The sequence below is a fragment of the Homo sapiens genome, chromosome 4 (genome assembly GCF_000001405.40).
Source record: "Homo sapiens chromosome 4, GRCh38.p14 Primary Assembly".
NCBI lineage: Eukaryota > Metazoa > Chordata > Mammalia > Primates > Hominidae > Homo > Homo sapiens.
In genome coordinates, this window is record NC_000004.12 from 88,730,562 (window position 1) to 88,743,972 (window position 13,411).

The window sequence follows — 13,411 nt, forward strand, 5'->3', positions numbered from 1 at the left end:
TTGTATTTTTAGTAGAGATGGGGTTTCACCATGTTGGTCAGGCTGGTCTTGAACTCCTTACCTCATGTAATCCACCCTCCTTGACCTCCCAAAGTGCTAGGATTACAGGCGTGAGCCACCACGCCTGGCCGACTTACTGATTTTCATACATATTTTTCATTTAAACTTGGCAATTATCACCTTCATTTTTGAAATGAGCTTGAAAATCAGTAATACTTAGATCTCTCTTTCCCTTGTTTCTCTAGCTCCTTTTATTTAGAAATGAAGTCTCACTCTATTGCCCAGAATAGAGTGCAGTAGCAGACCACAGCTCCCTGCAGCCTCAAACTCCTGGGTTCAAGCAATCCTCCTGCCTTAGCCTCCCAAGTAGCTAGAGCTACAGGTGTGCCACTACGGCCGCTTGGCTAACCTCTAGCTTCTTAAGAAAAAAGCGTTGGTGCCACCACCAGCGGGAAACGCAGCTTCCTGCTGCTCATTGTAGATAAGAATTTGATGGGACAGGTTCATTTCATAAATGTCAGCTGAATCTGCATTAGTCTTGGGCATTACCCAAAGAGCATTTCTTCTGGGAGGTCCACACAAATCCCATCATCTCACAGTCAACCTCTAAGTGTCCCTGGGCACAAACCCAAGGACCAGGTTACAGGGAGGATGCAGAAGAGTCCCCCCTTTGAAGGCATTCCACAGATCTGACAGAAAAACAAGAGGGATGGGTGTGTGTGGTGCGGCGGGGGGGAAGGGAGGGTGGGGGAAGACAGGCACTACCTTCCATTCTGTCTGAAAAAGTTGTCTTCAAAATCCCGAAGTTTCTTTCGAATCCTTTTCTTTTCTTCTCTCATTTCCTGGAGGTGTTCCAGGAGTTCAGGTCTAAGAGAGAGGAAGCATTGCAAGGAAATTAAGTTAAATTTGAGTTGTCATAAATGTGATGAATGTGTAACTCAACAGGAGCTGTGCAGAAAGGGGAGGCAAGTAAATGCAGAAACTGCTGAGAGCATTGAGGGGGCGCGGAAATGCATGTTTTCCATTTCCTGAAAGCCAAACATGCTGGCAACAGATCCAGCTTCTGGGGGTTCCTGCTACTTGGGAATTCTTAGCCCTTGTGAAATCCCATGGCACTTTGTCATATTTTTCTTTGAAAGAAAGAGATGACATCTGTGCTCAGCGTGTGTTAAGTGATGGGCTGTGATGTACAGAACCACACGATGCCCTTTAGAGAGAGAACTTCTGGTTGTTTAAACAAGACTCAAAAGTTCCCTCAAATAACATGGGCTGAAGCATATAAAAAAAGAAATTTTTTAAAAAATCACCGTTTTATCCAGATACACCCCAGGTAGTCACTTGTATTTTATCAGCTAATTTATTTAGATACAAAGGCTAAGATAATATTTAAGTGAGCTATTTTTACCAAAACATTTCACCACCACCACCAAAATGACATACATTGAGGCAGCATGGAGATTTGAAAGCCCTGTGTCCTGGCTGCATTTTGATGGTATTTTATCATCCATTGGGGAAATAAATCCATCAGCGTCATCTTCGAATTGGTCCAGAAAGCATCGTGCACTGAAATCGGTTTTCAGAGTGACCATGAAGTCTGGCTTCACATTGCTATCGTCTTCTGACCCCTCCTCTTCTTCCTGGAGATACACAGCAACCCCAATAAAAATCTGGTCACTTTTTGGGGCAGACTTTCATTACAAGTATCATTTAATAATCATTTAATTATCAGACTCCATATAGTTTCTTCTGTATCTACATTTAGCAACACATATGTACATTACAGATATATTATTGAACATCTGTATTCGATATAAATATACACATTTAATAACACAATGTAGCCACTCAATAGAGAAAACAGACTGCAAAACTATTTTAAAATGAGTGTACATCATGTTAATAGTTGTCAGGTTGGGGGTAAGAAGGAACAACCATCATAATTTATAACCTAAATCAGATGAACTAAAAGGATCCAAAAATTTCCAGCTCTGTGACAGTACAAAACAAAATTCATCACCAGTAACCAGTGCTTGAAAGGATTCTACTACTTGGGTATCTCAGATGGCTTTAAAAAAAAAAAAAATCAGTCTGAACATTTTCTGAAATAATACAACATTTCTATTTAAGAATTGAGATTAGAAAATATTTTATGGCTGCTTAATGCACAAAATTTTAGGGAAATTTTAAGAAGACTGAAAGATATTATATTCTCATGATTGAAATAAGAAAACTCAAGCTTTTCCAAAGAACTTCCAAGGGCCACATCTGTATTTTTTGGCATACAAGATTCTAAGAAAAGTATGATATTCTCGGTCTGTATTGATAATGCAAATAGAAAAATAATAAAGCCAAATCAGCATTTCTTAGAGCCAATTTAAGGCTATGTAAGCCTAAGGAAGAGATAATATCAGAGTGTGAAAGATTTCAAAACAAGTGATGTACTGCCAAAAGGTAGTCAGACCACAGAGAATAACTTACTATCCTAAAAAATTTAAAAATTGGTTCGGAATACAGCCACATAAAAAATGGTATGCATAGCACCAATTATTACAGGTAAACCAAATGGTTTCCATGCCAGTGCAGCAAAAACATCTCAGGAGGCCGCAGCAGTTCCCGCTGGCGGGCAAAGTACAAGTGTGCAAATGGTTCATGGTAAATTTTGATATGTTTAATAAGGGTGTTTCTGAAGAGAAATAATGTGAATAAACAAGCAACCAAACAAAGCAAAACAAAAAAGGACTATCATATAACTGATATCAAAGTATTGCTATGAAAATAAAATTGGCAAAAGCTAGGTGGCTTTTCCAGATTGTCTCAGCTGTGACTTCAGACCTTGAGTCTCTTTAAATTGTTAAAAACATTTAAAAGTTTACAAAGTAAAATTGACTTTTTAAATGAATACGTTTCTTTTTGTTTTAGTAAGAGTAATAACAATTCCCATCGACGTAGTTTTGATAAAAATTGAGATAATGTGTGTCAGGTACCTCATAAGGCACACCTGGGACACTGGCTGTGCACATCAGTTTTCCGCTCCCTCTCTTCCTTCCCCTCCCCTGGATAAGGAAAACAGGGTAGAAGTATCTGACCAACTCAGTGAAGGCAGGAATTGGGGCCTGTTTACTGCTGTCCCCAGAGCTTGGCCAATGCTTGCATATGGCCAATAAATGGCTGTTAAGCAGTCTAGTAATTCAGTTTGAAAAGAGAACTACAAAAAATTACTATTAGAAGAGCATAAACACCTAACAGAGTTAGGGACAGCTAACAGAGTTACAAATAAGAACTTAACGACCTTTAATGAAATCAGGTGTCTAGGCCTTATCAATTATATCCCAAAGTCCTGAGAGAACTTAAAAGTGTGGAAGTGTGCCTTGCACATAGTGAGCACTCAATATTTTTTGAGATAAATGTAACAAAATTACTCTCAGTAGCCTTTGAAAATCACGAGGAAAAATAGCAAATAGATTTTCAAATAAGACAACCATCATAAGTGTTGTAGATACTGGGTAGATTCTAGAAGGAATTAATACATAGATAATATATAAGCAATTGGGAAAAATCAGTGATCAACTGATGAGACTGGTTCCTTAAAAATGAGTCATGAAAATGAACCATTTTTCCTTTTTTGATAGATGTAGTATTTGGATTTCAATAAACAACCAGGTAAGCAGACCCTACGAAAGGAAAGCTGGCTTCCCAAATTTCTGCTGAGTAATGACTGAAGGGTGACATGAACCTGAAGGGCAGTCTACAGCAGCCCCTCTGCCTGACCCTGCCTTACTCAGTATCTGAGTCACTTGGACAAAGAAAAGGCATATTTCAAAATGTACAGATAATACAAAGCGGGTAGGGATATCTGATATGTTGGAGTAAAAAAGCTAGATTTAGTGTATTTCCTACAGCTGAAATAGAAGTATGAGACGTAACAAATTGGAAAAATTCAAGGCCCTATAATTAGGAAAAAGAGAAGCTGGATACATCAGTGGCAATGCACAAGTATACAGCAAAGCATGAGTCAGGGCCATATGCCAGGGCCATGAGCAGTGGTTCTCAATCAGGGTGATCTGTTCCCTTGGGGACATCGGGCAATGTCTGGAAACATTTTTGGCTGTCACGACTGGTGAAGGGGTGGTGGTGCCACACTACTGGCCTCTAGTAGGTGGAGGCCAGGGACTCTGGTAAGCATCCCACAAAGCACAGGGCAGTGCTGCACAACAGTTACCCAGCCCCAAAGGTCAGCAGTGCTGAGGCTGAGACACCCTATCCTCAGAAAGGCCAAAATGAATTCCCAATACCTTGTCAGTTGCATAGGCAAGAAACTGGAGGCATGAAAGGGTCTCAGTCATCCAGATCAATGTAAGGACTAGTCTTTGGTCCACTGTCCTGGTTAAACCATATGCAGGTTAATGTCCAGTTCCGGGTATCAGTTTTAACAGCAACATTGATAAACTGGTGTGTGTGCACACAGCAGAGCTAGGAGACCACTGAAAGGTCTGGAACCCGTATCACATAAGGAAGAGTAAGAGGAACTTGGATAACAAATTGTCACAGGGTGTGGGGTGGGAGTGGGCAGGGCAGGTGACTGTAAATACAGGCAGTGCTCTCAGGGAAGAAGCAGTATGTCTATCTCATGTTGCTCCAAAGGGCAAAACTAAGCCTATGGGATAGAATGTAATAAATTGATAATAGCTATGAATATAATTTCAACTATTTTCATTAACTTGGTATTTATCAAACCTATACATTTTAAATTACATATTATGTAATTAACAAATAATTATAAAACCAATAATATAAGTTATCAGCTATTATTGATACTTATGTAGTGAGTGACATAACTCCTTCCATTGCTGTAAACTTTTTAAGCTTGAGGATGGAATCTCTCTGTAGGGACAATGTCTCTATTCTGCCAGAGAAGTTTTAGAGGGGATTCTTATGTTGGCTAGGAGAACTGATTAGATGATCTCTAGGTTTCTTTGGGTTGGAAAATCTAGGCCTTCAGAACTGAGCTGGCTGTAGTTCATATACAGCTGGTTCGTTCCCAAAAGCATTTAAAACCAGGGGTGAGTTTTGGAGAAACCACTTAGATACAATCTTACCTGCACACACACCAAATTCTAAACTGGAATTGCCAAGAATTAGTACAGTCCAAATACTTTCTAATAGGCCTGGCCAACAGGAACAAAGTGAACCAAAAGACAGCACTGTTTACAAAAGCAAAGTAGTCATTGCAAAATTATCTGAAATTTTGACCATGATGTGGGCCAGGAGATAAACCACAGCCAAAATATACTTGTGAAAAAAAATTAAGCTAAAGGATAAGAATGGGAAAAATGTCTTTTATAAAAAAGAGCATCATTAGGTTATCTTCAATTCATTTGGTGAAACCCTTATTAAGTGTCTACATTTTGGATGTGTTCAAGAACACATTTTTATCTAGTAACGGTTCTATTGCATGCTGCTAAGAGAAACATGCTAATTTTCATACACACAATTACCCAAATTTCTCCAATTACTGTGGTTTCATTCTTGGGTGACATTACCAGCCAGACAAAATTTGTCTTTCATTAACATCAAGGCTTATTGTAAGAAAATAGCTCTAATTTTTAAAGACACAATATAGTATACTGGCCCAAATTTCAAGTACCGTGTTTACAGCATTTTCATAAAACAAGTTCTACTTAATACAGTGAGCACAGTCATTGCCTAATACCATAAAATTAGGCATATGATGTATCAAGATCTGCAAAAGGCAAGAAAAGGAATACATAAAAGAAGACTTTATAGCTTGTGGTACCTTACCTCAGACAAGAAAATGGAGAAATTCTCAATTGGTTTCCCTCAGTAGACAAGAGGGCCCCATATACTGAAATAATCATTCCTAACTACAGCACGTAAATGATCGCCCCAGGCTCGGAACTATCACAGAAATATGACAAGTGAAACTCTTAAAACTCACTTCTGCTTCAGGTTTAACTCTTGCTTTGGAGTTAAATGACTGTTAGAAAAACAATCACTGTTTTTTAAAAAATGATTGCCTTTGATTTTTCATCTCTAGAGTTCTGTATAAGGCAGTCCAGTTTGTTCAGTTGTCTAGAAACAAAAACATGAAAGAGGCTGATCCTAGTACGGGCCAATTAGGGTCCCACAGAGACACACTGATCTATGGGCACAGATTACATCTCGCATTCTAGCAAAAGTAGCCACCGATGACAAGGATTATCTGTACAAAATCCATATTACTGGAAAAAAAATCAGGACATATGTTCTGGTAGCTATCAGTCATTCACAGCACCTCATTCGTAGATTAAGAGCAGATTTTAAAATTAGTCCTGGGGACTAAATGTGCTATGAGAAAGTCAAGAAGGAAAAAAGCCGGAAATACTGCACCCACAAATCTGTCAAAGACTACTAAGATATTTGTAGAAGTACAATTTTTCATTGTTTTATATGTTTATATATATATTTCCTATGTTAATTTTGATTTTTCTATAAACAGTATATGAGATTCCTTTTAAAGTTGGTCTAATGAGCTAATTTAAGATTTTGGAATACAGAAAAATCCATTCCCCAAATACAGAAAACAAAACCAAACAAAAAGCATTGTGGACAACAAAACCAAACAAAATAATCCCTGAAAGCGAAGTAAAAACAAAACAACAACAGACAATACAAAAAAGAGGGGGGGAATAAAATGAAACCAAAGAAATCAACTAAATGGAACTGGAGAAATTAGCACTCTTTAGAGGAACTGTTCAAAGTTGGTTATATGTAGCTACTGATTTTTAGGGAATGCTGTAAGAAGCCACCACCAAAAGGCCCGATCACACCCCCTTTCCATTCACCGGAGGGGAGGGGAGGAGGGAGGGAACTGGTGCGGATTTAGCAATGGGTTAGCAGCTGGGGTCTTCACCTTTATCTCCTTGAAGAAGGAAGCAGTTTCGCCCTCGATAATTGGCTGCAGCAAAGGGCTTCTCCGCTTGCTGGAGGGGGAACCCTGTGACAGGTGTTAACAAGTAGGTTACATTCCGAACCCCTTTCCCTTTCCCTCCAGCTCTCGGCCTCCTCTGACCTCACCAGTATTTATTAACTTTTAACTCTGCATTCTTATCCCTCCCTGCCAAACACTCCCAGGAAAACCTGAAACAACAAAAGTTCTTTTTCCAAGTTGCTGCTTCCCTTCAGCGCCCACACACATAAATCAAGGAGGACAGAGTACAGCAAGAACAGCACAGGAGTATATCCGGCAGACACGCAGAAGAAACCCGAGGAGAAACACCTGCCTCCCATCGCTGCCCCTGCCAATCACAGTTAACCACAAGAACACTTCGGCTGTAGTCAGCTAAGGAGAATCACATAAGCTCAGAAAGCAATACAAAGGGGAGCTGACTTCTCTGTTGCACCTTCACCCTACTTAGGGACACTAAGGGTTCCTGCCTGGAGAATGAAAACAACTCCTTAGATCTAATCGTTTTATTTGTTAGTTTAGGACATTCCTCCAGAATACATTAAAGTGGCTTTCTTCAAATACACCTGCCTGAGATCTCTGGACCCTCCTTTCTTCATTAAATACATTGTTAAAAGAAATAGACAATATTCTAGGCCTAGAAATAAGAAGGGCATTTAAGGCCGGGCCAGACAGGAGCAGCAGCTAAAATGAGTATGTATTGCAACGGCAACATCAAAGTGAGTTTGTGTCTGCTAAAGAGCCTAAAAGCCAGCAGAGGAGATGGGAGCACTGAAACAGAAGCAAATGTTTCCCTAAGAGATGGACAGGGCAGAACACCCTACTCATAAGCTGGGGGTGGAAACGCTGAGTCTGGGATGAGGGATGGGAGCAGGTGGCTGGGCCCTAAAGACTTCCTGTCGCTGAAGGCAAGCTGCTGCTCCCTACTCTTGACAAAATCAAAAGCCAGGAGCCAAAAGCAGCAAAGTTTAAGGATGGTGGCCACTGACAGCAACTTCAATGAGTAGCCTCCTTTCCTACACCTTGCCACATCCTCCAAGAAGGGCCTCTCTCTCGTTTCTCAGAGGATTTTCTCCCTGGACACAATTCCCAAGGGAGTTATCCCTCTCTTGGATGGGAGGGACTATGAGCAGAGGGCCTTGGGATCAGAACGGCACTCTTTGGAGTGAAGAGGCCTGGAGAAAGTGCAGCCCTACCCACGTGGTGCTCCATCTCTGACCCAGTATATCCAATGGATGTACATGCCTTTTGGGCAAAGCATGTCCTCCAAAAGGGAAAAATAAATTCTATCAGCTTCAGATTTGCCCATTTTTAACAAATGTAGCCTCAGGGGTCTTTGATAAAGTCTTCATTCCTCAAGCTTGTGGGCCATGGATAGTAATGGCTGATTCAGCAATTAAAGCCTATTCTTTAATGAGAAAGCAGGTTAGGGCCCTATTCATATATCCAGGGCCCATTCAAGCGGAAAGGTGTTGTACCAGCCACGGGAAGGTATTCTACTCACAATGATGGGTATGGTGTTAGCTCGGGAGAGGATCTGTTTGACCAGCCGGTACCTGTCGTATAGTGGCTTCATCACCTGCCGTTCGTTCTTTGTTACCTGAAAAGCAAGAATGAGAGCTATGAGAAGCCTGCTGCTGGGAGTCACAACCAGCTGTCTAAGCATGCTCTGGGCCTTTGTAATTCTAGAGAAACTCCAGATGATGCAACTTAAGTCTTACTACCCTCACAGAATTTATTTAAACTGATAATATTATTTATTCAATAAATATTCAGATTACCTAGTTCAGCTGCAGATCAGTGGAAGTCACTCCACTGGTAGTACTGCTTTTTCTAAATCCAAACTAGGATCATTCTTAGGTTCCTGCTTCCTGCTTAAAACTCCTCAAGGTTCAGAGTTCCCAGATGACTATTTTCTGAGCCCAGGGAAAGTGAAAGCATATATCTGCTATAAGACGTATCATGTAGGCCAAGCATGGTGGATCATGCTTGTAATCCCAGCACTTTGGGAGGCTGAGGTGGGCAGATCACCTGAGGTGAGGAGTTCAAGACCAGCCTGGCCAACATGGTGAAACCCCGTCTCTACTAAAAAATACAAAAAAAAAAAAAAAAATTAGCTGAGTGTGGTGGTGGGTGCCTGTAGTCCCAGCTATGCAGGAGGCTGAGGTGGAGAATCGCTTGAACACAGGAGGCGGAGGGTGCAGTGAGCCGAGATCACACAACTGCACTCCAGCCTGGGTGACAGAGAAAGACTCTGTCTCAAAAAAAAAAAAAAAAAAAAATACATATCATGTAGTTCATTTACTTGTCTTTCTCCTCTATGAAATTATGTTTCTAAGAAGAAGATTCTGGCAAACAGTGGGTATTCAAGGAACATGTGATGAAAAATACATGAACTGATTCATCTGTGTATCCCTAAAATCTGGCACAGGGCTAAAAAATGTTTAAAGGACTGATTCTCCAGGCAGTGGGGAGGAATCATACTCAACTCCCTGGTATAGTATTGGAAGCTCCTCATACTCTATCTGCTGCTTCTCCTCCCCATCATACTTCAAGCTTCAGAAATAAAGTAGGTTGTCTCAACCCTCTTGTCCAATTCCCTCTACCCTGCCATGGCTTCCTCTTTGCTCTTTTGTTTGGCAAATTCCAGATGAAGAGCCACTTCTCTGTGCAGCCTTCTTCCAACATCCCCCATTCTGGGAGACTCACCCATTCTCTCCTTTGTGAAATCACCACCCTGCCCCGTGCATACCCTGTAATTTCATAAATGCTTTTACACTTTACTGTAGCGATATGTTGACACGTGTCTCCTCCTTGAGACTGTAGCCCCTTGAGAGCAGGAGTTTATATTTTTGTATCCCTAGTAACTATTTCAGTGCCTGACATCATGGAAATATTCCATAAATATCAGTCAAATGAGTGAATAAATATTTGAAACATAAATAGGTGTGCCTGATTCACAGATGCAGTCCCATTGGTTACTTAAATGGGGAATGAGATGAAGTATCTTTGCTTCAAGTTAGCTGTTTGTCTCCTGCATTCTCTTACTATTTCACATATAATAAGGCAAGAGTTTTAGAGGTAAGGAAGGCAAGTAGCGTTAGCTTTGACCATTTCTTTTACGGGTTTTTTGAGCCTTCAACTTTGAAGATGACTCTGGATTATGAAGAAATGGATGATCCTTTGTTGCCTTTTGTATTTGTCTTTCTCAAAGTGATCAACAGCAAGTGTGCTTTGGATAAACTTGACAAGTTAGAATAAGATCAAGAAGAATAACAGCCTTATGTTACTTGCACTTCTGTTATCAGATAACTAATGGGCAATTGGTATTTTCCTGCTTCTACTATGTACTATACCATGAGGAGTTTTATAATTTTATAAACAATGACTGTCAAAACTAGAAGGGACCCAAATTATTTTACAGAAAAAGACTAAGGATCAAACCACAGATGTCACCCGCTACACACCTACCACAGAGCTGAAATGAAAAGACTGTGTCTAGTGCTGGCAAGGATGTTGAACATCTGGAACTCTCCTTCACTGCTGGTAAGAGTGAAACACTTTGGAAAACTATTTGGCAGTACCTACTAAAGCTGAACTTATGATCCATCAATTCCACTCTTAAGTATATACCAAAGGTGGCCTTAAGTTCATCAAAAGACATATGTAAGAATGCTCATAGCAGCACTATAATCCCAAACTGGAAATAGTCCCAAACCAGAAATTGCCCATATGCCCATCAGTGGTAGAATAAAGTATGTTCCCCAAATTGAATACTACACAGCAACGAGAATAAGTGAATCACAGCTATATGCATCATGGATTAACCTCATAATAATAAAGCTGAGTAAATTACGCCAGACACAAAACATACTGTCAGATTCCACTTACATAAAGGTCAAAAATAAGAAAAATCCACACAGTTAGATGATAGTGGTTTTCCTCTGTGGAACCTTGAGTCACGGTACTGACGAAGGGAACATGAGCAAGGCTTCTGGAGGATCGGCAACGTTTTGTTTTTTGATATGGGTGCTGGTTACCTGGGTGTGTGTACTTTGTGAAATTTCATCAAGACATATGTTTATAATTTGGGCCCTTTTCTGCATTTATGTTATACAGGGTAAGCATCCCAAATCTGAAAATCCAAAATCTGAAACTTTTTGAGTACTGACGTGATGCCAAAAGGAAACGTTCATTGGAACATTTTGAATTTCAGATTTTGGGATTTGGGATGCTCAATCAGTATAATGCAAATATTCCAAAATCTGAAAAAATCCAAAATCTGAAACACTTCTGGTCCCAAGCATTTCGTATAAGGGATACTCAACCTGTACTTCAACAAAAGTGCAACAATAGCCACAAATAAGTTTGAGAAACAGAAATTAAGTGACTTGTACAATGTCACATGTAAAATGACAGAATTTAGGACTGAGACACATGTAATAATCTTTTAAACACAAGATATAGAATATGTTGCAGATGAGATTAAAGTGCATCCTAATGTCAGCACGTGACACATGGTGAAATATAATGTGCAAGATAAACAATAGACGGTTGAGTAACCAAAGACATACTAAAAGTAGAAATAGGAACCAGCCAGCATCCCCACTGTGAACTAGCATCCATTACTAGTTATTTGGCAGAAACATCTTTGGACTGCAACAGAAGACCAAAGTAAAACCAACCAGTTGTGACAAATTTGACAGAAACCAATCTCCTTCCTTACTCTTTGTTCAAAAACGAAGTTTTCTACTTGGAGTAGATGAGGAAGATCACTGGCTTAATTCTTTGGCTCATGACATTGATATTTAGATTTTCTACAAATTGCTCATGTTTTCAATTAGTGACCCCCAGGAACTAATCACCTGTGGGTGATCTGACAAAATCCAGTGTTTTTGACTATGGAGAGTTAAAACTCATGATTCCACAAAACCATTGTCATTTAACAGAAGCACCAAAAATATCAAAGATCTTTAAGTCTGAGGTAAGAGAAAGGTAAGAATAACGACCTGATTTTTATCATAATCATTTTCATAATATATATTTGAAGCCAAAGGCTCAGTGATACTACAAGTTAATGCAACTTTTACCCATCATAATAATGATCAGTGCTCAGTTTGTGAGTGGGGTCAAAATTTAATCCATAGTTATATGAACAAAGCAGGACCTTCGCTGAACTGTCAAAAAAGAGCTATTAAATCTAACCACAGGAAAACCGTTTGAGTTGACATCTCTTATTCTTGACTCATCAGCTGCTCAGGGATTCTGCTGCCCACTAAGAATAGGGCTCTGAATGAGCTACACTGATCTTCTCTCAGCCTCAGTTTCCTGAATGGTAAATTGCAGAATTCAAATTAGAAAATCTTTATGCTTCCTAATTGCTTGGAAATGACTTTAGGCCAGGCATGTAGTATATTATCTCTTCAAAATACTTTCACTCCTCTAGCTTCAAAACTTTATTTAAAGTGATAGTGCTGAATGGTCTTCCAATATGTGGAACTAGGGTTATCATTAAGATGTATTTTTGCACATAAGTCAAACAACATAAATATCCAGATGTGAAGATCTAAGGGGAGAAAGCAGCACTTCCACTCCGTCTTTCCTTATGATTCAAATAAATTGTCATTTACTGGTCTTTTACTACCCTATTTGGTTGTCCCGTAAATTTCGGATATTTCAAAACACAAAGGGAACACTAGCCAATAATTATCCACATTTAATTAATGGCAAGTCTTGAACAGAAATCAAAAAGGCCTGATTAGGCAGCTGCATTTGTCTGCCTTTATCTTTTGTGACGGTTTTGGTCTTAGCTTCAAATAAAACTCTTCCCTACTGAAACATCAGTTTAGTTGCTGTTACCTGACAAAACCACAAAGGTGAAAGGTAAAATGAACATATTCACTTTAAAGATAAATTAGAACTATGAAATATTAAGAGCTAGAAAAGCCTTATTTTTTAGATGATAAAATTAAGCACCAGAGAGGGTAATGATTTGCTCAAGGCCACAGAGATGGGTCCAGATCCCAGGTTTATGAACTTCCAGTTGTTTTCTTTCACAAATAAGAAGTAGGATCTTTAACCGTGATGATTTTTGGATCTGGGATGCTCAATCAATAGCGCATCAATACAGCATCATCAATATAGCGCAGTCAATATAGCATAGAGATGTAGCATTATTCTCTAATAGGGTTTCGCCAAGTTGTCTTCATAATATAAAGAATTCTGCCTTCCAAGCTGAGAGTTTGCCTATATTGAATTTACAAAAATCTGTGCTTATGAACAGTGTCATAGAAACACAACTTTGTGAGAAATTATGTCATAGACAAACTATGCGGCCTCAAACTCTTAGTAAAACAAGAAGTAGTTTGAGTTTGTGTGTGAGGGCTATACCTCTGAATCATCAAACTGCTAGAAGGAGAAGACAAAATGGGATGGATTCTTATAACT

General features: G+C 39.5%; 1 protein-coding gene across 24 annotated transcripts in view, besides 2 other annotated features; it reads right to left on the bottom strand.

Annotated features, from left to right (window-relative positions):
* The window catches only part of FAM13A (family with sequence similarity 13 member A), a 331,226-nt gene that overhangs the window by 4,602 nt on the left and 313,213 nt on the right, over window positions 1-13,411 (bottom strand). For 17 of the 24 annotated variants that reach the window (XM_047449479.1, XM_011531516.2, XM_047449480.1 and 14 more), the window contains 4 exons: window positions 8,469-8,564; window positions 6,911-6,994; window positions 1,441-1,637; window positions 766-867 (listed from right to left, as the gene is read on the bottom strand). In XM_047449479.1, coding sequence (XP_047305435.1) covers window positions 766-867; window positions 1,441-1,637; window positions 6,911-6,994; window positions 8,469-8,564 — 479 coding nt within the window. The remainder of the gene's footprint in view (window positions 1-765; window positions 868-1,440; window positions 1,638-6,910; window positions 6,995-8,468; window positions 8,565-13,411) is intronic. The other 7 variants (XM_047449481.1, XM_047449482.1, XM_017007624.3 and 4 more) reach the window with 1 other exon arrangement.
* Window positions 7,117-7,411: a silencer, noted in NCBI's record as "tiled region #7691; K562 Repressive non-DNase unmatched - State 16:ElonW". NCBI's record gives its function as "represses a minimal TATA promoter and a strong SV40 promoter by Sharpr-MPRA in K562 cells {active_cell/tissue: K562}" and the evidence as "EXISTENCE:reporter gene assay evidence [ECO:0000049][PMID:27701403]".
* Window positions 7,159-7,208: an enhancer, noted in NCBI's record as "active region_21718". NCBI's record gives its function as "activates an Ori minimal core promoter by ATAC-STARR-seq in GM12878 lymphoblastoid cells {active_cell/tissue: GM12878}" and the evidence as "EXISTENCE:reporter gene assay evidence [ECO:0000049][PMID:35858748]".